This window comes from Homo sapiens, chromosome 22 (genome assembly GCF_000001405.40).
Source record: "Homo sapiens chromosome 22, GRCh38.p14 Primary Assembly".
Lineage (NCBI taxonomy): Eukaryota > Metazoa > Chordata > Mammalia > Primates > Hominidae > Homo > Homo sapiens.
In genome coordinates, this window is record NC_000022.11 from 46,863,464 (window position 1) to 46,886,963 (window position 23,500).

Consider the following 23,500-nt stretch of genomic DNA (forward strand, 5'->3'; position numbering starts at 1 on the left):
AGAGCCCTGCTCTCTTTGATGCCATTTCTTTCAGGCTGGCTGGGTTCTGACTGGTCAGGATAAGTTGGTCTATCTGGTATCTCAGCAACTAGTCACCTCTAGTATTTAACCTTGTCATTTGATGCACTTTCTTGGTCATCGTGCTTATCCCAATTAGGATTTAATTAGAGCCCCATAATAGGGTTTTAAAAGTGTATTGGAAACCAAAGGGGTCATGCGATATGATTTTACACAAAACAAAAGCATTTCCGTCATTCAGGAGCCTCATTCAGTCCCCATGTCTCTGTCGGCTTTTCCCTTAAAATGTCCCCTTCCCTCAGCCCGGGTTGCACCTGCTTCTGGCCTGCATAGCTTTCTCAGATGCTCCCCCTCCGTGAAGAATGCCTCCCTCCATTCTCCTGTCTGCCGGCCTCATGGACATCTCTTATGTCCAGGGACATAGAGCCTTCTCTGCGAGGCCTTCTCTAGCTCAGCATCTAGCATTGTACAGAGGCCTCTCGAGTTGTCCCTGGGCCCACTCCTTGTGTTTATTCACTCAGGTAGCTGTTTGCCTCCTAGGGGTTCAGCACAGCACATCGCCTAGTGGAGCATTTGTCCAGCACCTTTCCTGACATTCCTGATGCCTCCACGTGCATATTCCTTCCTATTTGTAACCAGAAGCTGCCTGAAATTACACATACACACACCCCAACTTTCAAATAGAAGAAGAAGTTAAAGCTAGAGAAGTTATTTTGAAAAACTCTGTTATGTTAATGATAGCAATTAAGGGTCACGAAGCCTAGACTCCCATAACTCGAGAAAAGCTGCCAGGCAACAAGCATCTGTGGCTCTCTCATGGTCCTGTAGTGGAAGCAGAGACAGAGCAGCCACTATCCCTTGCTGCGGTTTGGGCTCCAGGGTCCTGCAGAAAGAACACCTTCCAAAAGGCTCATTTAACTCTATCACATGATCAGGGAAACCAGTTTCCCTCCTGGCTGTCTGTGGAAGTGAAACCTTGTTGAAATCTGCCAAAGGCTGGAGAGGAAAAGAACAAACTTATTTCTCAGGCCTCCTGTACTTTGCCCTCTGACATTCCGCTTTCCACAAACAGATTGGTGAGGAGCACACAATTCAGTAGATAAACGATAACAATCATCTTTTGGATTGGTGGTTTTCTCTTGCCCCCTATTTTCACCTGAGAAGAAACACAGCCTTTTTCAGAAAGTTAATTATTCCATTTTGAAAGCCTGAGGGTGATGGGGGTGTAGTATGTTTCTAGGTGTACCTGCACTATTTTGGGGACCTTATGGAGTGCCAGTGGTGTTCCCGAGGGAGTACCGTGGGCAGCTCCTGGCTGGATTGATTCCCACCTCTGTTGCAGGACAGTGCCCGGCCCATACCAAGTTCATCCTGTGTGTTGAGTGCAGTGGCGTGATCGACCGAGTGAGTGAGGAACTCAGGCCTAGGGATTTGCTGGCTCCCATTTGGGCTCTGCCATTTCTGGTTGCTATGAGCCTCCCATCACTGTGCTTGACTTTCATCTCCCAAGTCACCCAGCAATACCTGTGGCATCTGTCCAAATACTGGTGGTGGTCTCACCGAACCCACACCAGGTCATACCTCTGAAATCTTTGCCTAACATCCATCTCCCAACCTCCATTGGCTCCTCAGCACCTGTGTGTATAAATCCAGGTGGTTGGCACCTGTTCCTGGCATCTCTGCAGGATCCAGGCCCTGCCTTCCTCTCCAGTCTTATTTCTTGCAGGCACCACCCCCCGCTGCATCTCCACCCTCTGGATGGGTGCACCATACTAAGCTCTTGCAGTGACGGGCAGATGTTTTATTGTTTTACACTCTGTGCTTCTGTTTGTGCTGCTTCCTCTCTAGCTGCAGTGTCCTTGACATATACCTTACTTGGTTAGTTTTAGGTCAGATATTTATTTTACAAAGTCATCTATGTCCCTGGTTTTAAAAATGGAGTAGCGTAGGTTGAGCATCCATAATCCAAAAATCTAAAATCTGAAATGCTCCAAAGTCTGAAACTTTTTGAGCAGTGATTTGACACCACAGGTAGAAAATTCTACACCTGATCTTATGTGAAATCACATGTGAACTCCTAGGTGCACAACACACAGTTTATCAGTATCCCCAAGGGAAATGAGACCCTTCCAGCCCCTTCAGCTGTGATTTGTCTTGTCTGCGCACATCCAGATTCCCCTGCACAGGCATGTCCACAGGGGGTAATAAGACCACACGTGTGCGTTGGACACACCAAGGGCCGGTTCCCCCAATGCCCCCCCATGGGGGAGGCCTGTGTGCATTACTTGCTGTGGCTTTTTGCTTACTCTTTGTTCTGGGGCGTAAAGATACTATTGAAAATGCCAAAAAAGACCTGTAGATACCCCTCTGAGTAACAATGATAAGAACAAGGAGGATTTATGTTTATCTGTAGCACAGAAAAGTCAGGCTGTTGGAGAAACTGGACTGTGGTGTAAGTGAAACATCTTACAGCAGAGTGTGGTGTTGGAATGACCACCATATGGGACCTGAAGAAACAGAAGGAGAAACCGTTGAAGTTCTGTGCCGAAATTGATGAATAGAAGTTAATGAAAAATTAAAAACCAGTGCATAAAGCCAAAAAATAAAGATCTTTTAAAAATTTTTATTTTATCTATTTTTTGAGATGGAGTCTCACTCTGTCACCCAGGCTGCAGTGCCGTGGCGTAATCTTGCCTCACCGCAACCTCCTCCTCCTGGGTTCAAGCGATTCTCCTGCTTCAGCCTCCCAAGTAGCTGGGACTACAGGCGTGTGCCACCATGCTCAGCTAATTTTTGTATTTTAGTAGAGATGGAGTTTCACCATGTTGGGTCAGGCTGGTCTCAAACTCCTGACCTCAAGTGATCGGCCCACCGCAGCCTCCCAAAGTGCTGGGATTACAGGTGTGAGCCACCACTCCCGACCCCAAAAATGAAGATCTTGATTGGGTATTGAGAGAGTGAATCCATCAGCATCACACTGAACATCCACTTAATGATACACCTGTCAAGCGGCAAGCAAAGCTGTCTCTCCATGAACTAAAAGTTGAAAAGAACTGTTACTCTTCAACAGGCTGGTTGCAGAAATTTAAGAATAGATATGGCATTACATTTTTAAAGGTTTGTGCTGATCATGAAGCGGTGGAGAAATTCCTTAGTTTGCCAAGATCATCTCTAATGAGAAGCTGATGCCTGAACAAGTCTATAGTGCTGATGAACCATCATTGTTTTGGTGTTCTTGCCCCAGAAAGACACTGACGACAGCTGATGAGACAGCCCTTCAGGAATTCAGGATCCTAGGACAGAATCACTGTGCTGGGCTGTGCTAGTGCAGCAGGCATGCGGAAGCGTTAACTTGCTGTGATCCGCAAGAGCTTGTATCCTTACTGTTTTCAAGGAGTGGATTTCTTACCAGTCCTTTATTATGCTAACAGAACGGCATGGATCACCAAGGACATCTTTTCTGATTCCCTTCACAAACGTTTTGTATCCGTGGCTTGGGCTCATTGCAGGGAGGCTGGACTGGATGATGACTACAGGATTTGTCATTTCATGACAGCTGTTCTGCTTATTCTCCAGCTGAAATTCTCAACAATAATAATGTTTATGCCATGCATTTCCCCCCAGATGTGACTTTATTAATTCAGCTACGTGACCAAGTATCTGTAGATCAATGAAGAATAGATATCAAAACACTTTCTTGGGCAGCACGTTAGCAGCAGTGAACAGAGGTGGCATGGGTTTGGAAGGTTGCAAAAGATGTTTAGCACGAAGGATGCTGTATATGCTGCTGCCAGTGCTTGGAACACAGTGACAAAACAAACAGCTGTGCATGCCTGGCACAACCTCTGGCACAACCTCTGGGCTGTGACTCTGTGTTCAGTGATGATGATGAACCAAGTGGTGACTTTGAAGGATTCTGTGTGTCAAATGAGACAAAAACGATGTCTGACCTCCTTACATATGTAAAAAATATACCTTCAAGGTCCATCAGAAAACTGGGAGAAGTGGATATCAAAGAAGCCCTCCACATCGATAAATGAGGTACCAGTTGTTAACCATTGGAAGAAGTGGATATCAAAGAAGTCTTCCACATCGATAAATGCATTACCAGTTGTTAACCATCAGTAGATGTGGAAATAGCCAAAATGGTTTTGAGTCCAGGTAACTGTGATGATAGTGATGATGAAGATGATGACGTTAACACTGTAGAAAAAGCATCTATAGATGACATGGCGAAAATGTGCGACAGGCTTACTGAAGGACTAGGGCAGCATGCGATCACAGCAGGGCAAGAAATCACGTCAATTGACAAAATCAAAGAGACACTTAAAAGACAGAAACTGTTGCTAATAAGCAGATGACTCCAGAGGAAACATTTAAAAAAGCCACCCGGCAGAATGCCTTCTCATCCCTAGAGCACCCGCTTCCTGGTCCCTCAGCTGCTTCTGATGTTTCTTCTCACTGAGAAAACAAAAACCAAAAAGCAAAAAACCCACAGTGTCCAGGAACCTTTTAATGGAAACCCAGCACTGTAGATGGAGACTGGAAGCCGCCATTGTTTGTTGCTGCCGTTGCTTTACAGCGGGTGCGGGTGTTCTGGGGAGGCTGCGGTGCCGCTTAGCTACTCTGAACGCAGTTTTTTCACTGTATTAATGGTAGGTCATATTTTTTACTGTTAAGTACGTATGTGGGAATAAGTGTAAGAAAATGATTGCTTATTGGTAGCATGTAAATTTAGAGTCAGGAATGATGATGATGCCAGACAACCACAGATTGTCCTCACGAGTGGCTGAGATAGTGACACCTTGGCTTTTGGGTGGTTCAGTATACACACATTTTGTTTCACGGGCAAAATTATTTTAAAAAGGTATGAAATCACCTTGAGGCTATATGTGTAAGGTATATATGAACCATAAATGAATTTTGTGTTTAGATTTAGGTCTCATCCCCAAGATATCTCATTATATATATGCAAATATTCTAAAATCTGGAAAAAAACCCAGAATTCGAACACTTGGGATCCCAAGCTTTTTGGATAAGGGAGACTCAACCGGCAGTATAAGATTTGTACTGGAAAGAGTAGTCCTCCGTCCCCACCCTTCCTCATCCCTGCCTTCCGTCTCTGAGGTGAGGCTGTCATTGTACCTCTTGGCTATTGTTGCTGGTACTTGTCTTGATATTTCTAAATACTATGCTAATTTTGCAGATTTTTACAGTTTAGCCGTATTTATTAACTTTCTACTCTGAAGCAGAGGGTTTAACTCTCTTACCATGCTTCTTCCTCTTCTCCTTCCCCATCCTCTCAGTTTAATTTTTGGTGACATTGGGATTCATTGTTTGTGATGTTGTAACTCTAACTCTGGTTCATGACTGAGTACCTGTCACGTATAACTTGTTTTATCCTAGAGTTGTTCATTTGCGGGGTGAGGTGGGGGAGCTCACTGTGTGGGTAGGAGTAGGTGGGGGGTGCCCCTGTGTTCTGCTCCAACACAGCCCTTTCTGGGGGTTCTTTGCCCTCAGTTGGCCGCTCCGTGTTGGCGTCCCCTTGTCAGGCTGTTATCTGCGCCGCTCCGCTGCCTCCCACTGCTGTGTCTGCTGTCCATCCTTCACATTTCTGCTGACATTTCTTGTCTGCCTCCTTTACACCCTTGTCCTTGTTTATGACATTATTCCTTTACTGCCCTGTTGGTGAGAGTTAGGGAGTAGTAGAGATAAATCTGTGCTTTGCTTAGTTTCAAGATGGCTCTCCAGCAGCAGCTCACGGAGAATCTTTCCTGATGTCCCCTTCTTCAGAGAAGAGACCACCCCTCCTCTGGTGACTCACTGTACCTTGCATTCCTTTCTCCCATAGTCCTGGTGAACAGTGATTTCACTGGCTAGATTTCTTCTTGTTATTTGACAGTGAGCCCCTTGAGGGAAGGAACTGGGTTTAATCACTCCCTTGGAGGCTAGTTCTGGGCCTGGTCCGTGGTGAGTGTTGATTGGCACCCGCCAATGGGATGGATTAATGTGTGGGTGGACTCGGTCTGGGGAGTGTCTCAGTGGCTTTGCCCAGAGGCAGCTTACACAGGGGGCATGCTCAGCAAGTGCTGGCCACATGGAGTTGATCTGTGAGGCTCCCCTGTGTGTGGCTTTAGGAACAGGACATATGCGTATTTTTGTAGAACCTCTTTATGCTGGTGACACTCAGCGTTTAGCCTAGAACCACATGTAAGCCTAAGTGATTGCAGTGCACATGCATTTCTTACTATTGTTCAGTGTTTCTTCCAGATTTTATTATTACAAAAGGTTTTAAAAATCATAATTAAAGGCAGTTAATAAGAAATGAATCTTAAGAAAAAAAGACGCTTAAATGATGGGTTGATTTTTCTGTTATTCTTGGCTTTTCAGAAAAAAGGTTCTTATAATTAGGAGTTCTTTGCATACACCACTTTGTGACAGATTTCTGGTTCAGTCTCAAATGTGATATTTTACATCCAATTAGAATGAATGAGTCCCAGTTGCTTTATGGTTTGGGTTCACAGAGTGTGCTGAATAACTGCATCTGTCAGCATAACAGAAGCGTGCTCTTGGATTTGTACATTATGTCACAGTTCACCAATGTTTCCCCATGTATTGTCTCTTTGTTCCTTGTAAAAATTATGTGACTTAAGCAAGGCAAGTATTTTTATTTGTCCTGTGTTTTAGGGGAGGAAACTGAAGAGGGAGAGCCTCCAGATAGTCTTTGGCCAAGCTGGTCCTTGAACCCAGGTGCACTGAACCCACAACCAGTGTTTGTTCCTCTACCCTCTGCTCTCTGTCTGCTCTCTTTAGAGTTAGTGCTTGGTAATTTCCTATTGAGAAGTAAAGCTTTCACAGTGCAGATGAGCATGAAATTGTGATTTTGGTGGTGTTTTCCTGAAAATATTCCAAAGTTTCAGTTTTCAGAAAGGAAATCCACTGTTGTAGAAGAAATGCTATTTATTTCTCATTCACTTAATCTCATTCATTTTCTACTTATGTAAGTTTTTTGTACATTTTAGTTTTCTCTCTTAGAGCACTTAGGATTTTACTGCCTGACTGTGTGAAAATATAGAGACAGAAAGCTGAAAGGAAAGCTGTCTTAGTCTGTTTCATGTTGTTCTAACAGAATACCACAGAGTGGATAATCTGTAAGCAACAGAAATTCCGTCTCTCCCAGTTTCGGAGGCTTGGAGGTCTCGCATCAAGGTGCCGGCATCTGGTGAAGGCTTGCTTGCTGTGTCATCACATGGTCGAAGGCAAAGGGCAAAACGGGACAAAATCTGTGTGCTCACATGACAGAGGAGCAGAAGAGGGCAAATCTACTTTTGGGAGCCCTTTTATAATGACCTTAATCCAGTCATGAGGGTGGATTACTCATGACCTAAACACCTTCCCACAAGGCCACCTCCCAACACTGTTGCACTGGGGATTAACTTTCCAACACATGAATTTTTGGAGGGGACAAAAACATTCAAACCATAACAAAAGCCAGACACACATGTTTTAAACATAAAGACAGGCAGTTGAAATAAAAGGGTAGAAAAATATATGTCATGCAAGCTCTAATCACAAGAAAACGAATTTGCTTATAGTTACATCAGGAAAAGTAGACCTCAAGACAAAGAGTTGTATTAGAGACAAAGAGGAATATTTCATGATGATGAAAGGATCAATTCCTTAAGTAGAGAGATGAGTCCTAAATGTGTATGTACCAGCTTTACAATGCATGAAGCAAACATTGACAGCAATAAAGAGAGAAATAAACAAGTTTACAATCCTAGGCAGAAAATTTAACAGCCCTCCGTGAGTAATTGATACAACAGGTAAATTAAAATGTTAGTAAAGTGTAGAAGATTAGAATAACATTATCAACCAGTGGGATCTAATTGATTTATAAAATACCGCATCTACTAACTGATAATGCACGTCCTTTTCAAGGACATATGGCACATTCACCAAGTAGACTGTATGTTGGCCCCAAAAAGTTATAGTAAATATCAGAGGGTTGAAATACCACCAAATTCATCTGACCAAATGCTTTAAATTAAAAATCCATAACAACAAGATACACAGAGAATCCTCAGATATTTGGAAATTTACCTGCATACTTCTAAACAACCTATGGATCAAATAAATCACAAGGAAAGTTTGAACTGAATGATAATGACAACAGGTGTCAAAATTTGTGTGATGCAGCTAAAACAGTGCCTGGAGGAAACTTTATACTTTTAAATGCCTGTATGAGAAAAGAATAAAGGTTTCCAATCCATATTCAACGCTCTCATTTTAAGAAACTAGAAGAAGAACAAAAACCGAGTAAAAGAAGAGAAACAATTTAAGGGTGAAAAATCAATAAACTGAAAAATGGGTAAACAAGAAAAGAATCACTAAAATATAAAGTTTTTTTGAAGAGACCCTTGAAAAACCTCTAGTTGGACTAATGAACAGAAAAAGAGAAAAAACAAGTTACCAATATCAGAAATGAAAGAGGAGACATCACTACAGATCCTACAGACATTAAAAAGGTAATAAGGGAATGTTATTTACAATTTTATGCCAATAAATTCATGAAATGGGGATATTTCTAGAAAGACACGACTTAAACTAATACAAGAAGAAATGGAGACCTTTAATATCCTTATATTGATTAAAAAAATTAAATTTGTTATACAAGAGCCTTCACTCAAGGAAAACATCAGGACCAGATGGCTTTGTCGGTGAACTGTATCAAACATTTAAAGTCTATCAAACATTTAAAGAAGAAATAATAGCAATCTTCCAGGATCACTTTCAGAAAAGAGAGGAGTAGTAAACACTTCTCATTTTTTTTAAGGTAACATAATCCCGATACCAAAATCTTACAAAGACATTATAAGAAAAGAGAACCTGAGACCAATATTTATGATGAATATAGACAAAAAATTCTTTAAAAATATATTAGCAAATTGACTTTTGCCTTAACCTATGAAGGAGTAACTGCCAAAGGAATTGCTGTCCTGTTATCAACAGCTAGAAAACTGGACCAGATATGTGAAACAACTGTTTTCAGATGTTGGACAACAGGCAGTGCAGGGCTGTGACCCTGTGAGATAGGAGATAAGTAAGGTGAACTTTATAAGGACTCAATTTGCAATTGAATGCAGTTGCCAAGCAGCAGCATAAGTGGGGGAACCCTAATGAAACAGGCAGCTTTGCTGAGTGTAGGAATTAGGAAAGAGTTTTGAGGAGGCCAAAACAGAATCATATATGGAGCAGAGTGTTGGAGAGGAGGGAATTGTATAGGGAGAGAACCCCAGATGTCTGCAAAGTCCCATCAAGTCCTTAGCTGAGTATTGATCTGCTCAGGAGTAGGGTGGGATTCTATGAGCTGGGGAAAGTCACCAAAAAGCAGTGAGTTGAATAATCCCAAATGCAGTGGGAATCGAGTGTTGGAGAGACAGCACCTGCAGGAACCTGGCGAATGAGCCATATGAACCTGGAAGAAACCATTCGTGTCCCTCCAGCCCTCTCTATTGAATAGGATGAGATCATGCCAGCTGACAAAGGAGAAGTTTTTACAAGATCCAGTTCCAGTATCACAGTGGCAATAAATTGATACTTGGGATATCTGGCATTCAATAAAAAAGTAACCGGTATGCAATGGAACAGAAAAATATGACCCATAATCAGAAGAAAAATTAGCAATTAGAAACAGACTCATGAATGAATAATAAAATTTTGAACAACCCAATAAAATATGGGTAAAGGATTTCAACATACACCTCACAAAAAGTAGAGAGATGGCCAGTAAACACATGAAAATCTCTTCAATGCTCAACATCATTAATCATCATAAAATTGCTATGTAAAATCACAATCAGATACCCTTTAACACGTACTAGAATGGCTAAAATAAAAAGACTGACAACGCTAAATTTTGGCCAAGATGTGGAACAATTCAAATGTTCATACATTGCTGGTGGGAAGTGTAAAATGGTGCAATCACTTTAAAGACCCTTATGGCAGATTTATTTTAATTAATTAATTTACTTATTTATTTTTAAATTCAGGGATACATGTGCAGGATGTGCAGGTTTGTTACCTAGGTAAAATGTGTCATGGGGGTTTGTTGTACAGATTCTTTCATCATCCAGGTATTAGGCCCAGGATCCATTAGTTACTTTTCCTGATCCTCTCCCTCATCCCATCCTCTGCCCTCCAGTAGGCCTCACAACATGTGGTATTTGGTTTCCTGTTCCCGCGTTAGTTTGGTAAGGATAATGACCTCCAGCTCCATCCATGTCACTGCAAAGGACATAATCTTGTTCCTTTTTTTTTTTTTTCTTTTGAGACAGAGTCTCGCTCTGTCACCAAGGCTGGAGAGGTGCAGTGGCACGATCTCAGCTCACTACAAGCTCCACCTCCCGGGTTCACACCATTCTTCTGCCTCAGCCTCCTGAGTAGCTGGGATTACAGGTGCCCACCACCATGTGCAGCTAATTTTGTTTTGTTTTGTTTTTGTATTTTTAGTAGAGACGGGGTTTCACTGTGTTAGCCAGGTTGGTCTCAATCTCCTGACCTCGTGATCGGCCTGCCTCGGCCTCCCAAAGTGCTGGGATTACAGGCGTGAGCCACCGCGCCTGGCCAATCTTGTTTCTTTTTATGGCTGCATAGTATTCCATGGTGTATATGTATCACATTTTCTTTATGGAGTCTCTCATTGATGGGCATTTAGGTTGATTCCATGTCTTTGCTATAGTGAATAGTGCTGCAGTGAACATAGGTGCGCATGTGTCTTTGTAATAGAACGATTTATATTATTTTGGGTATATACCCAGTAATGAGATTGCTGGGTCAAATGGTATTTCTGTCTCTAGGTCTTTGAGGAATTGCTACACTGTCTTCCATGATGTTTGATCTAATTTACACTCCCACAGACAGTGTAAAGGTGTTCCTTTTTCTCCATAACCTCACCACCATTAATAATCACAATTCTGACTGATATGAGATGGTATCTCATTGTGGTTTTGATTTGCATTTCCCTAACGATCAGTGATGTTGAGCTTTTTTTCATATGTTTGTTTGGCTACAGGTATGTCTTTTTTTTTTTTTTTTTTTTTTTTTTTTTTGAGACAAAGTCTTACTCTGCACCCAGGCTGGAATGCAGTGGTGCAGTCTTGGCTCACTGCAGCCTCCACCTCTTGGGTTCAAGTGATTCTCCTGCCTTAGCCTCCCAAGTAGCTGGGATTACAGGTGCATGCCACCACGCCTGGCTAATTTTTCTATTTTTAGTAGAGATGGGATTTCACCATGTTGCCCAGGCTGGTCTCGAATTCCTCACCTCAAATGATCTGCCCGCCTTGGCCTCCCAAAGTGCTAGGATTACAGGCGTGAGCCACTGCACCTGGCCTTTTGAAAAGTGTCTGTTCATGTCCTTTGCCCCCTGTTTAATGGGGTTGTTTTTTTCTTGTAAATTTAAGTTGCTTATAGATGCTGGATGTCAGACCTTTGTCAGGTGCATAGATTGCAAAGGCAGTTTTTAAATAAAGGGAGATGTACATCTGCCCTATGACCCAGCAGTTCCACTCCTTCACACCTGCCTAGGAGAAATGGAGACATACACCCACAAAATGTATATCCACAAGAGCGTTCATCGCAGCCTATTTATGGTAAAAATCAGTGACACAGAAGTCTAAGAATGGGTGAATGTGTAAACAAGTTGTGGTATATTCTTAGAATACTTTTACTGCTTGTAAAGAATGAACTACTGGTACTGGCAACATGTGTGACTCTTACAAACACATTCTGAGCAAAATAAATAGGACACAAAGGATATATACTGTCTGTACTGTTTATATGAATTGCAAGAACAGGCAAGTCCCGTCTATGGTGATAGATACCAGAAGGCAGTTAACTGGGAGTGGGGGCCAAGAACGACTAGAAAAGGGCAATAGACATGTTCTGTGTCTTGTCTGAGGGCAGCAATACTTTTTTTTTTTCTTTTTTTTGAGACAGAGTCTCACTCCCACCCAGACTGCGGTGCAGTAGCGTGATCTCGGCTCACTGCAGCCTCCGCCTCCCAGGTTCAAGTGATTCTCCTGTCTTAGCCTCCCCAGTAGCTGGGACTACAGGCGCCAGCCATGATGCTTGGCTAATTTTTGTATTTTTAGTAGAGATGGGGTTTCACCATGTTGGCCAGGCTAGTCTTGAGCTCCTGACCTCAGTGATCTACCCACCTTGGCCTCCCAAAGTGCTGGGATTACAGGTGTGAGCCACTGCACCTGGCCTAGCAATATGCTTATTATATGTAAATTATACTTTGATTTCAAAATATCACGCCCCCCAACAAACAAACAAATCTCTAAAGGGGAGGAGGAAAGGATGGAGTATTGTGTCCAGCACTTAACTGGAGACAGACAAAAAGCCAAGTGGTGGAGTCTGACCTTCAGGAGCACATACATTACTTCTAGGAGACAAGGCTGGTGCTCATGACCCCCCCTGTCATTGGCGCTCACAGAAGAGATAAGTGAGTGAGGACTGTAGTTGTCAGGAAGGCATCTTAGATGTGGCAGGTCTTGCGATGGGCCCTGAGAGCTGCATGGAATTTGACAAATCGGAGATTAAAGTGGCGACGTCACAGAAACTTTGTAGTTTTGTGGGAACACCATAGGGCGTACAGTGGAACGTAAGTCTTCTACCATCCTTGACTCCATCCTGGGATCCCCTCCCCAGATTCTGCCTGTGCTTTCAGATTCTCGTATGTGCCTACAGAAATAATCATTGTATCTACAGATTGTTCCCTTTTCACTTCATAATTTAGATAAACTTACTTCATATCCGCACAAAAAGACAGACATTCTTTTCTATGGCAACAGTGTATTCTATTACAAAGACACATGTGCATACAAAGACCTAGCAATGTCATTACTGGGTATATACCCAAAATAATATAAATCGTTCTATTACAGAGAACATTTTTGAATGTTCCTGTATTTGGCCATCTTGCTTATCTCAGAACTCTGTTTCCTGCCATTCTCTCGGGTCTGCCTCTGTCTCTGTTGGCGTCATTCCTCAGGCTGGTTGGGTGCAGATGGTTGCAGCAGTTCTGACCCCCACATCTGACCCTGGTAGCTTTCAGGGGAAGAGGAGTGGGTTGCCTCCAGGAACTTCCCAAGAGCCGGGTGGAGTGTTCTCAGAAGCCCTCAGCTGTCTGTGCTCAGTGGCTTAAGTAGGCGCCTAGGCCCATTGCTGACTCAGCCTTTGGTGAGGTGTGGGCTAGCTCTGCGGGGCTCCAACTAGGCCCACCTGTGGGTTCAGCTGCCTCTGGGCTGACTCCCCACCCCCAGGGCTGCTGCAGGGAAGCATGGTTACTTTGCACAGCTGGGATTCTGCTAGAAAGATGTACCAAACACCTATGAGGATGGTCATGTGGCTTCCCTGTCGACCCCATTCAGCATGTGGGTAAAGCTACAAGATTTCCCGACGTTGAACCATCCCTCCTTCATTCTTTACCTGTATTATTCTTTGAATATCCTGCTGCTGTGCTTTGATCTACTAAGATTTTATTTTGGATCTTTTTGTCTGTATTCAGAAGTGAGATTTGTCTGTGCTACAAAAGTCTTTTTAAGAATGGAAGGGACGTAGTGGACAGACCCTGGTATTGAAGGTTGCTTAGTTCCTGTGTGACCTTGGTCAAGTCACTTAACCTCTCTGAGGCTCTTTCATATACAATAGTGATCACAGCCCTAAGTAACACAAGCTTGTTTTGAGGATCAAATAAGATAATATGTATGAAAGCTCTCTTTTAACACCAAAGCTTGAGCAGAGTTTGAGGCTTGTCTCATTATGTATATTCAGGATTTTTGAATTTTTGTGAATTTCTTCCAGTGAGGAGAGAGGTTCAGAGAACATTAACGAATGAGTTTCCTCTCAGCTTTTTCTCGTAAACCATAATCAGAAAACCAGAGTTATGCCGAGGGAGAGACACTGGGAACATGGTCGGTAAACATTACATTATTGGTGTTCAGATATGAGGTTCCTGCTTTTCATAATATCCTTAGGGTACTGGGGAAGATTTGATATTTTCTGAGATTGCTGTAAAATGCAAGTTATTGCTGCGACTATCGCCCAATTATTCTGTACTTATTTTACTTAGACTTTAGTAATTGGAAAAAGATTAGATGTCAGGACTTTGTATTTTGTTGATTATATTAGCAAAGTCTTCTCTTTAATCATTTCTTTTATTCCCGTTATTAATCATTAGCTCCAAGCTGTTAGGAAAACAACCTAATGGTAGATTCCTAACTTAAAGGAAAGAAATAATTACTTGAGTTTCCATGGGATTGGACAAGTGTTGCTATACCTAGACATTGAAATGGATTCTCTTGCCATTTGGGGCATGGGAGTGAGACACTCAAGGAGACTCGGAAGGTCGATGGAATGCAGGGCCCACAGCCTTACCCCTCTGCCTGATGCTTGTCCTTCCCTGCCCTTGGAGGTGCTGGACCTTGCTCCAGGACCCCTCTGCCTCTGGCCAGCGCCTCCCTACTCGTGATTTTTTTCTACTTGTAGGTATTTATAAAGCCTCATTGACTTGTATTAGACTACCTTGAAGACTTTGTTGTCTGTGTAGAATATGGCCACATCCTTAATTAATGGTGTATAAAGACAAGCTTATCTCCGTGAAACAATTTCTTTCAAAACCAGTAGTGAGAAAAACCACATCATATATGTATGCTTAAATAGCATATAGAAAGTTGAGATGGAAGAAAGAAAGGAAAACCAATTAACATGATCAGGTTGGGGAAAAAGCCTTCAGGAGAGAGTGGGGGGAAGGAAGAGAGAGAAGGAGGTGGGAGGGAGAGAGAGAAGGAGGTGGGAGGGAAGGAGGCCAGTGTACTCTGGACTTCTCTGGTTGAAGGAGGAAGGGATCATGGGGCCTCACGTGTTCCAGGGTAGCTCCAGGATTCTGTTGTAAACAGGTAACCTGTAGCTTGGTTTGAATAGAATGGTCACTTACCTTCTCTCAGATATTGAAATCAATCGTATCTGAAATGTTGATGATTTAGTTTAATTTGTTTATGGGGCTCCTTGCCTCCTAATTAAACAGGTGGAATGTGTTAAAGCACTGGGGAGGTTTGCTAACCTTTTGCAAATCTTGTTTTTCCTTGTCTCTTTTTTCATCAACAGAGGAATTACGGAGGTTGAGCTGGTCCGGAATCCCTAAGCCAGTGCGTCCAATGACGTGGAAGCTCCTCTCAGTAAGTCCCACCGCACCGCCCATCAGCGCCTCCTTCCTGTGCACAGGGACTGCAGGCGTCTGGCCTGAGTAGGGCCTGACAGCCACAGCCCACGGGTTTGCCTTGGCTTTGTTGCAGTGATAAAGGCCTTTGCTATGGCTAAGCTGACATTTTCCATTCTTTGCTTAATTTTAAGCTTGGTTTGACAGGACTGGCAGAAAACAAGAATAGGTAATAATTATGACAACTATATTTTTTCCTCAGATTTTATTAGAAAATCTTTCTATGTTCCAGCCTGTGATATAGAAAGGTTTCAGCATAGATGGTTGTTTCAACTCCGAGGAGTTGAAACAGGGAAATATGTTTTAAATTTGTTTCAAATATGCTGAAAACAAGGACATATGTTTGACCAAGTTTTTTTTTTTTTTTTTGTAAGTATTAGTAGCGCTGTTAGGAAAAGAGAAGAAATGGATGAGACAAGTGGTTTGTGTTTCTGTGGGTGAGAGAAGTGGTTTGTGTTTCTGTGGTGGAGTGTGGAGTTCTGGCTGCCGCAGCTCTGGCGCTCAGCTGCCGGTCTGGAAGTCCTTGGGGAAAGGTTGGGGTAGGCGGTGGTGACATCAGCAATGCCCTCGTACACTTAGCTCAGGCTTGCCGTTGGAAGTGAGTTTGGCCCTGCCCACCATTTCAGAATTGTTTATAGACAGTTTTCTTCTCTTTTCCTTTTTCATTATTTTTGGAGCTAAGTCAATAGGGAGCTCTAAGTGTTTACTCTAAACTGGGTCTGACTTTTAGTATTTAAGACTCTTTCTGGCTAATGAGCCTTAATAAGTTTGCAGCTTAGTACCTCGTAATCCTAAATGCAGACGCAGCTCTGAACAGCGAATATTTATTGATTAAATATTCTTTTGCAATTAAAATTAGACTTGCTGCCATTGCTTATGTTTTTGTTTTGTGCTTTTTTATTTTAACCTAGTTTTCCAGTTTATATCCAGTTTTCTAAATGTCCCCTAAGATAGGTTGCAGACTTCTCAGGTTGGTTTGTAGGAAGTTATGATGAAAACACCGAATTGCCGTTTTCTATTTATTAAGGATGTGCCGTGTCTAGGGGGAAAGTCTCATGTGAGTTATTTTATACTGTGCTTTCTCCTCTAATTCTCAGCCTCTGCGGGTTGTGGTTCCGCTTCCCTAATGTGTGTAGCACAGGGGTTGATGTGGACATGGACACTCTGATTTCAGTAGACAGAGGAGCACAAGGGGAGGTGACAGCCCCACTCTGCTGGTTGTGGACAGGAGGGCAGGTGGGTGTAGGTGGAGTCTGACCCAGGAACCCCGGCGAGGCAAGTGAGAGTGTGAACCCAGGAGATCTGAGACTGGTCTCAGTTGATTTAGAAAGTTTATTTTGCCAAGGTTGAGGGCGCACTGGCGACGCAGCCTTAGGAGATCCTGACGACATGTGCCCAAGGTGGTCGGGGCACAGCTTGGTTTTATACACTTAGGGAGACATGAGACATCCATCAGTACATGTAAGAAGTGGCGAGGGAGCTTCCAGGTCACAGATAGGTGATACACGAATGGTTACATTCTTTTGAGTTTCTGATTAGCCTTTCCAAAGGAGGCAAATCAGGTGTGCATCTGTCTCAGTGAGCAGAGGAGTGACTTTGAATAAAATGGGAGGCAGGTTTGCCCTAAGCAGTTTCTAGCTTGAGTTTTTTATAGTGATCTTGGGGGCCCAAGCATTTTCCTTCACAAGAGAAAGCCTGAGCATTCTCAGAGCGTTGACTTATGAAGGGACAGGCACATGTAGTCCTTTAACCATCATAGCTTGCAGGGGCCTTTGCTTGGGAGACGGAGATGAATTAGACACTAGCCTGCCATTAGGAGGAGGTCGGGTGCTGCAGACTTGTGGTGGGACAGTGGTGGTGGAGGCCAGACTGCATGCTATAGGATGGACAGGACACGAGTATGAACCAGGGGGTGGAGGAGTACCACAGCGTGGGGGCAGTTTAGTACAGAGGGTCAGCTTCTGCTAAGAGGGGACTTCACACCTGGGATCTGCATGGCCATGGCAGGTGGGGAAGGAGGGGAGGGTGTGGAGACTTGCAGTCACAAGGGATACGGATGAACGTGGTGGTTCTTGGCCCTCTCAGGGCTTGGATTGACAGATGAGTAGGAAATAAATGTTAGATCAGGGAGCAAAGCTTGTCGTTGCAAATGTTGGGTGCTAAGAAAGGGTTCATGAGGATGCCAAGTAAGGCTTCTTGGGGAAGGTGGCATCTTACGTGGCATCTCAAAAGTGTTGTTAGTGTTCTCTCTGCTAGTGGGAAGTGGGGAGGCCATGAGAGCTGGGGCACACAGTAGGGGTGGGACAAGCAGGAACACAGGCTGGGGTAGAGGGGCCCAAGAGGAGACCAGGTGACAGCCGCCCTACTGCCATCCCTACCCACCCCATTGCTTGGGTTTTATTCTGAAGGAGAAACTGGGAGTGGTGAGCCTGTGTTTCTGGAAGAGTAAAGCCTTGAAAGAGCCGTTGGTTGGTTCATTCATTCATCCATTCATTCATCCATTGGCATTTATTGAGCACTTTGTGTTTTAGGCACTGTGTCGGGTGCTGGGAAATAGCAGGCAGGGAAGAAGACCAAGTCGTCCCCCTGGGGCCTGCAGAACAGATAGTAGAAGGCCTGCCTTTTTCTCTTGCCCCCTCCAACCCCGACAGACCTAGGCTACGTGGAGACGGATCCCATTCTCTCAGGATCTTATTCCTGTGCTCCCAGTGCACTGCTGCCCTGTGTCTGTCCCTTACTGAGTGCTTGCCGTGCGTCAGACCACGCATTCAGAGATTCTTGTGGACAGGCGTGTGGCAGGCAACTCAGGGAACAGGCTGTTCTTGCCCAGTGTCTGGCTCGTAGGAGCAGTGCTGGTTGTAAGGGGAGGCTGCTCTTGGCAGGCTCTTGGGAGGGGACTAGAGCTGGGACAGGAAGAACTGGGAAGGGACAGGTAAGGGAGTTGAGGGGCCAAAGGCTACAGGGGTGGAGTAAGAGGACTCTGGCAGCTAGAGTAGGGGGCAAGCGTTGGTTCTTTTTCCGGGAACAAGTGCTCACTGTGCATTTGCCATGCTCCATGCCCTGTGTTGGTGAGCACTGATGCCATCCAGCTCCCCAGGCAGTCATGCTGCACCATGGCTCTGGGCCTTCTGTAAGAGGAGAGATCTGGGAGCACAGTGCACAATGCGAGTCACCCATCCCTGAGTCAGCATGTGCTGCTCACACATCTGCCCTCAGCCAGGCCCTCTGCAGGTGCTGGGGTTACAAGAACCTCTGGGACAATGGTGGGTACTGGGAACTCAGCAGGGAAGGGGTCTCCCCAATCAAGGATGCCTCTTTATCATTCCCTGAATCCCAAGGTTTAAACCTGGCTTCCCATTCAACTCTCCTGGGAGCTTTTCCCGATCCTGGTGTCCGGGCCCACGAAGCAAATTGGAATCTCTAGGGTGGACTCAGGCATCAGGGTGTTGACTGACTCTAGCATGCTGTGAACCATGCAGTCCACAGAGTGCCTACCCTGCGGCTAGGCAGGGAATGGGAGGCGAGGGTGTGGGAGGTTCAGGCCTGCCTTCTTCACCTGTGGGTTTCCATTCTGGTCACATGTCATTATCACCTTTGGAGCTCAGGAAATACTGTTACGTCGGTTCTTGGGGGTTCTCACGTGTGCCCAGGGCTGAAGACGGCTGCTCTAAGACACTCAGGCTCCAGTGGGGCAAGGTGGGGCATACATGAGCCAACTGGGAAGCAGGTCATTGAAAGTTATGCGCTATGCCCGCCACTGCAGGCAGCACACACCTGGGCTGAGGTACCAGGGCAGGAGAGCTGGCCTGGGGCGTTGGAGGGCCTGCGTTGGAGGAGAGAGGCTGAGTGAGACTCGCTGAGAGCCATGAGCGTGTTGTCTGGGAGGGTTCGGGTGAGCAGGGTAAGATGGGAGGGATTTATCCCAGTCTGTGAGTCCTTCCAGGATCCAGAGGTTAACAGTTACGCCCAGAATTGAGAATTTATCATTTGTCCAGCTTAAAAAGGCAGATAACCAAAGAGGCAGATAACCAAAGCTGTGCTTGAATGGGAACCTATTTCAGGGTCTGGCAAACATCATGACTCTTTTTCATTGTGTTTATGATTTGTCATTAACATGATTCTAGTAGCCTTATTTTTAATTGATGAGTGGGCAGTGCCACTTCAATGAAGAAGGACGAGAAACATGACTTGGCATTTATGAAAAACTAACATCTAGTCTAGAACATACCATTAAGCCACTAGTAATACTACTTAATGTTTACATTTTATGCAAGCAGGGTAGTAACTTTTTAAAAATTACTGCTATACAGAATCATATTTCTGGCTCTTTTTTAAATAAGTATTTCAGAAACGTGGCACAAAAACTACTTAAACATCGAACATTTGCATTAGTGAGTCTAATGGTTAAAAATGATGAGTGAAGCTCCAGTATTATCTTTGTTTTTGCAGTTTATTGAGGTAGGTTTGCATAGGAACACAGTGGGAGGGAACAATTTGATTTTTGTGTCACCGGGACAATTTAGATATAAGTATATGCATGCATTGTTTTACATTTATGATGAGTGTTTTTATAGCATGCTAATACAGCAATTAAGTTTTCTGTAGTTCTGTCATTTAAAATTCATTGCATACTTGAATGTATTTCATTTGCATAATTTCTAGTCTTGCTTAATTATTGAAAGGCCTCAACTTGCATATGTGTGTTTTCCTTTAGGGATGGGAGTGTCAGGAGCACGTGTAGGGTTTTTATTGCCTGCATTCCGATGATGACGTGCTTGCCTTTTAGAATTTGTGTTTCAAGTTAATTTACATTTTGGGGAGTGGGAAGTATTTCTGAGAGCCCTCTTGCAAGTTCACTATGGATTTTTTGTTGCCACTGAACGCAGTTGATGTCAGGCTGCCTACACCACGGCCTAGCTGATCACCCCTGCTGGCCCACGCTGCCCTGTGTTGAAGGCTGGGCCCCTTCACTGGCACACAGGCCTTCTCTCCTGGCTGCTGCACACAGCTTCACACCCATCATTGGCCAGGCTCTGTTTCCGGCCTTGCCCCTAGCCAACCCGGACACATTTCCCTGTGTCCTCTGTGCTCCGTCTCTTTCTCTCCACCTCTGTCTTCTCCACTATCAAAACCAAACCCAGAAGTGTATGCTTGGTCTTACTTGTCCCAAGTGAGCACACGCATCTTTCTCCCTGAGTCTCAGGGCTGTGGCCACCTTTGGGTCTGACAGGATCTCTGCACGTCGTGATCACTCTTGCACTCAGCGAGGAAGGACTGAGGTTCCGTTGTGGGGCAAACAGCGTTCCAAGCCCTTGGACGAACATTCCGCCCTCGTGGACCTCACATTTTGGTGGGAGAAGACAAACAATACACCGAGAAGTAGATTTGATGTGCTGTGGAATGTGAGGAGTGCTGTAGGAAAAGGGCTGGGATCAGCTTGGTGGGATGGTGAGGGCCGAGGAGGGGAAGGGGCTGTTGAAGTAGGTGGGTAGCGGTCAGGGTGGGCCGCACTGAGGAGGTGACTTTGAGCAGGGACTTAGAGGAGCAAGGGAGGCAGCTAAGCAGGTGCCTGGGGGTGCATTCCTGTCTGGTTCATTCTGTGGAGAGGGCTTACCCGTTCCCTCACTGTGTTTCCCATCAGGGAATAGTGCCCACCAGACACAGGTGATGAAGAGGGAGAACAGTAAGTAACAGGAAGCAGTGCCGTGGGCTCCTCCCACAGCCGGGGAGGTGGAGACCGAGAGAGGGTGCTCTTGTGGAAAGGCGGCTGCTGGCCCTGCACAGACTGAGAGCAGCGGCCAGCGGCTGTCCTCGAAAGGGCAGCCAGTCAACACCCTGGGCTTGGTGGCCCCTGTGGTCTGTAGCAGCTAATCTCTGCCATTGTGGCCCAGAGCAGCCACAGGGAATCTGTATAAAGGAAAACACATAGTTGTGTTCCCATAACACTTTATTTACAAAAATGGGTGGGCAGGATTGGCTGATGGTCAGTTTGCTGACCCCTGATCTAGATGAAATGGGTCCTAGCAGAGGAAGAGTAAGTTCAGAGAGGGGCACTGAGGCAGGAGAGGTGTGGCATTTAAGGAACATTTAAGCAGCGAAGTAAAAGTGGGAGGGGCCATGGTGAGTGACGAGTCTCGGCCTCTTGGTCAGAGAGGCAGGAAGGGCCAGGCCCGCAGGAGCCGTCAGCCTAGGCAGGGCCTGGGCTTTTATGCTGGGCATGATTAGAAGCAATTGGAAGTGTTTTCGGGCTGGTGGTGTTAAAATGATGTGATTGTCACAGAGTCTCTAGAGCCAGCGTGTGGAGAAAGGACCGTGGGGTCTTTGTCCACCCACTGATGGACAGTCACCTGTGAGCCCGGCCAGTCTTCAGCGTCTCTGTATCCAGGGCTGAGCAGCGGGTGGGAGAGTGGCTGGGGCTGGGTGAATGAATGTTGTTGTTGTGTGTATCTGTGGGTGGCTCTTAGCATGCGGATTTGTCCCCAGGTCTTCGGTGACTTGGGATCACATGGCTCTCCTGAGCAGTGTGGGACCTCAGGTTAGGAGCTGGGGCTTGGCTTGAGTTTGCCTTCGTGTCCATGTGACTCTGGGCACATTAACCACGTTTCCTGAGCCTGTCTCCTCGTCTGCAGATAGGGACAGTGACGGCCTTCTGTGATTAGTGGGATTAAAGCAGCACTGTGTGAAGCACGGAGCGTGGTGAGGACCCAGCCCTTCCTTAGTTCACCTGCGGGTATGGCAATTCGGGGGCAAAGAAAAAGAAGTAATCTTATGTAATTGTTATTGCCAAGAGACGGACAGGCTTGAAATAACAACAAGGTGCAGACGGGTCTGGATGAAGCCTGTGGCTCTGAGACGGTTATCTGTGAAGCTGGCTTGAACTTGAAGTAGAAGCTTGTTTCACTCAGGTCTGGCTGTCACTGCCCCCCCTTGTAATTTTATGCCTTCCCATCACTGTGGGCAGGGCTAGGTACCCAACAGAAGGAGCTCTGCGCCTGGCAATCCACCAGCACATCCCAGTGAAAGAGGCCTGATTCTGGAGATGCTCAGGTGGGTCATTAAATAATCACCCGGAAGGCACCGCAGAACCACGCCTGGCACTTCTGTGCACACTCGGGGCTGGTTATTCTTTTTGTTACTGTTAGAATTTTTTTTTTTTTTTTTGAGGCGGAGTCTCACTCTGTCGCCCAGGCTGGAGTGCAGTGGTGCGATCTTGGCTCACTGCACGCTCCGCCTCCCAGGTTCACGCCATTCTCCTACCACAGCTTCCCGAGTAGCTGGGACTACAGGCGCCTGCCACCACGCCTGGCTAATTTTTTGTGTTTTTAGTATTTTCACCGTGTTAGCCAGGATGGTCTCAATCTCCTGACCTCGTGATCTGCCCGCCTCTGCCTCCCAAAGTGCTGGGATTACAGGTGTGAGCCGCCGCGCCCGGCCAGTCACTGTTAGAATTATGTGAATCAATACGCTCTTTGGAATACTGCTATTTCCTCATTTTATGGGAAAACAGAGGCCAGGTGGGAATAATGGCCACACCTTTCCTCCATCACGAGGACTCTGAGTGTCCCTCTCGAGTGCATCTTGGCAGCTAGGCTGTTCTGTGCCCCTCTCCAGAATACTGTAATTCACCGAGCGATTGTTTTCTGGAGAGAGTGTTCTCCTCTGGGGCACCTCCTCCCATTGGGTTGGGGATGCGTCTGACACGCGTGTAACCAGGCGGTTGTGACCCGATGCCCTTTCTGCCAGGGCTACTTGGAAATCACGCATCGTGAACCTTGAAGGTATCCGGTATTCCTTTGAGCTAAAAGTTCACTGTAGGAAGTTTACTTCAGGAAGTAATTGACATTGTTAGCTGATGTGTGTTTGAGAATACTGGGCAATTAGAAATAATCAAAATACTCACAAATTGGGGAAAGGTGACATAGAAATGCGTATGATGGAAGCCAGTGTCACCTTCAAAATGGATGTTTTAGAGCACGGTTGGCAAATGTTTTCTGTAAAGGCCTAGATAGTAAATATTTGAGCCTGTAGGCCATGTGGTCTCCTGTAGCCACTCCACTGTGCTGCGATAGGGCAAAAGCAGCCACACACAGTACATAAACAGATGGGCCGTGCCCTGTCCAGCAAAATTTTATTTACACAAATAGGTGGTGGGCCGTAGTTTGCTGATTCCTGTTGTAGAACAGGACTTAACAACAGTGG

General features: G+C 45.2%; 1 protein-coding gene across 19 annotated transcripts in view; it reads left to right on the top strand.

Moving 5' to 3' along the window:
• The window catches only part of TBC1D22A (TBC1 domain family member 22A), a 413,050-nt gene that overhangs the window by 100,814 nt on the left and 288,736 nt on the right, over positions 1 to 23,500 (top strand). For all 19 annotated transcript variants that reach the window (XR_007067971.1, XR_007067970.1, NR_104292.1 and 16 more), the window contains 1 exon segment: positions 15,190 to 15,260. Coding sequence is in view for 16 of the 19 variants with exons in the window: in NM_001284304.2 (NP_001271233.1) it covers positions 15,190 to 15,260 (71 nt within the window). In the remaining 3 variants the exon portion in view is untranslated.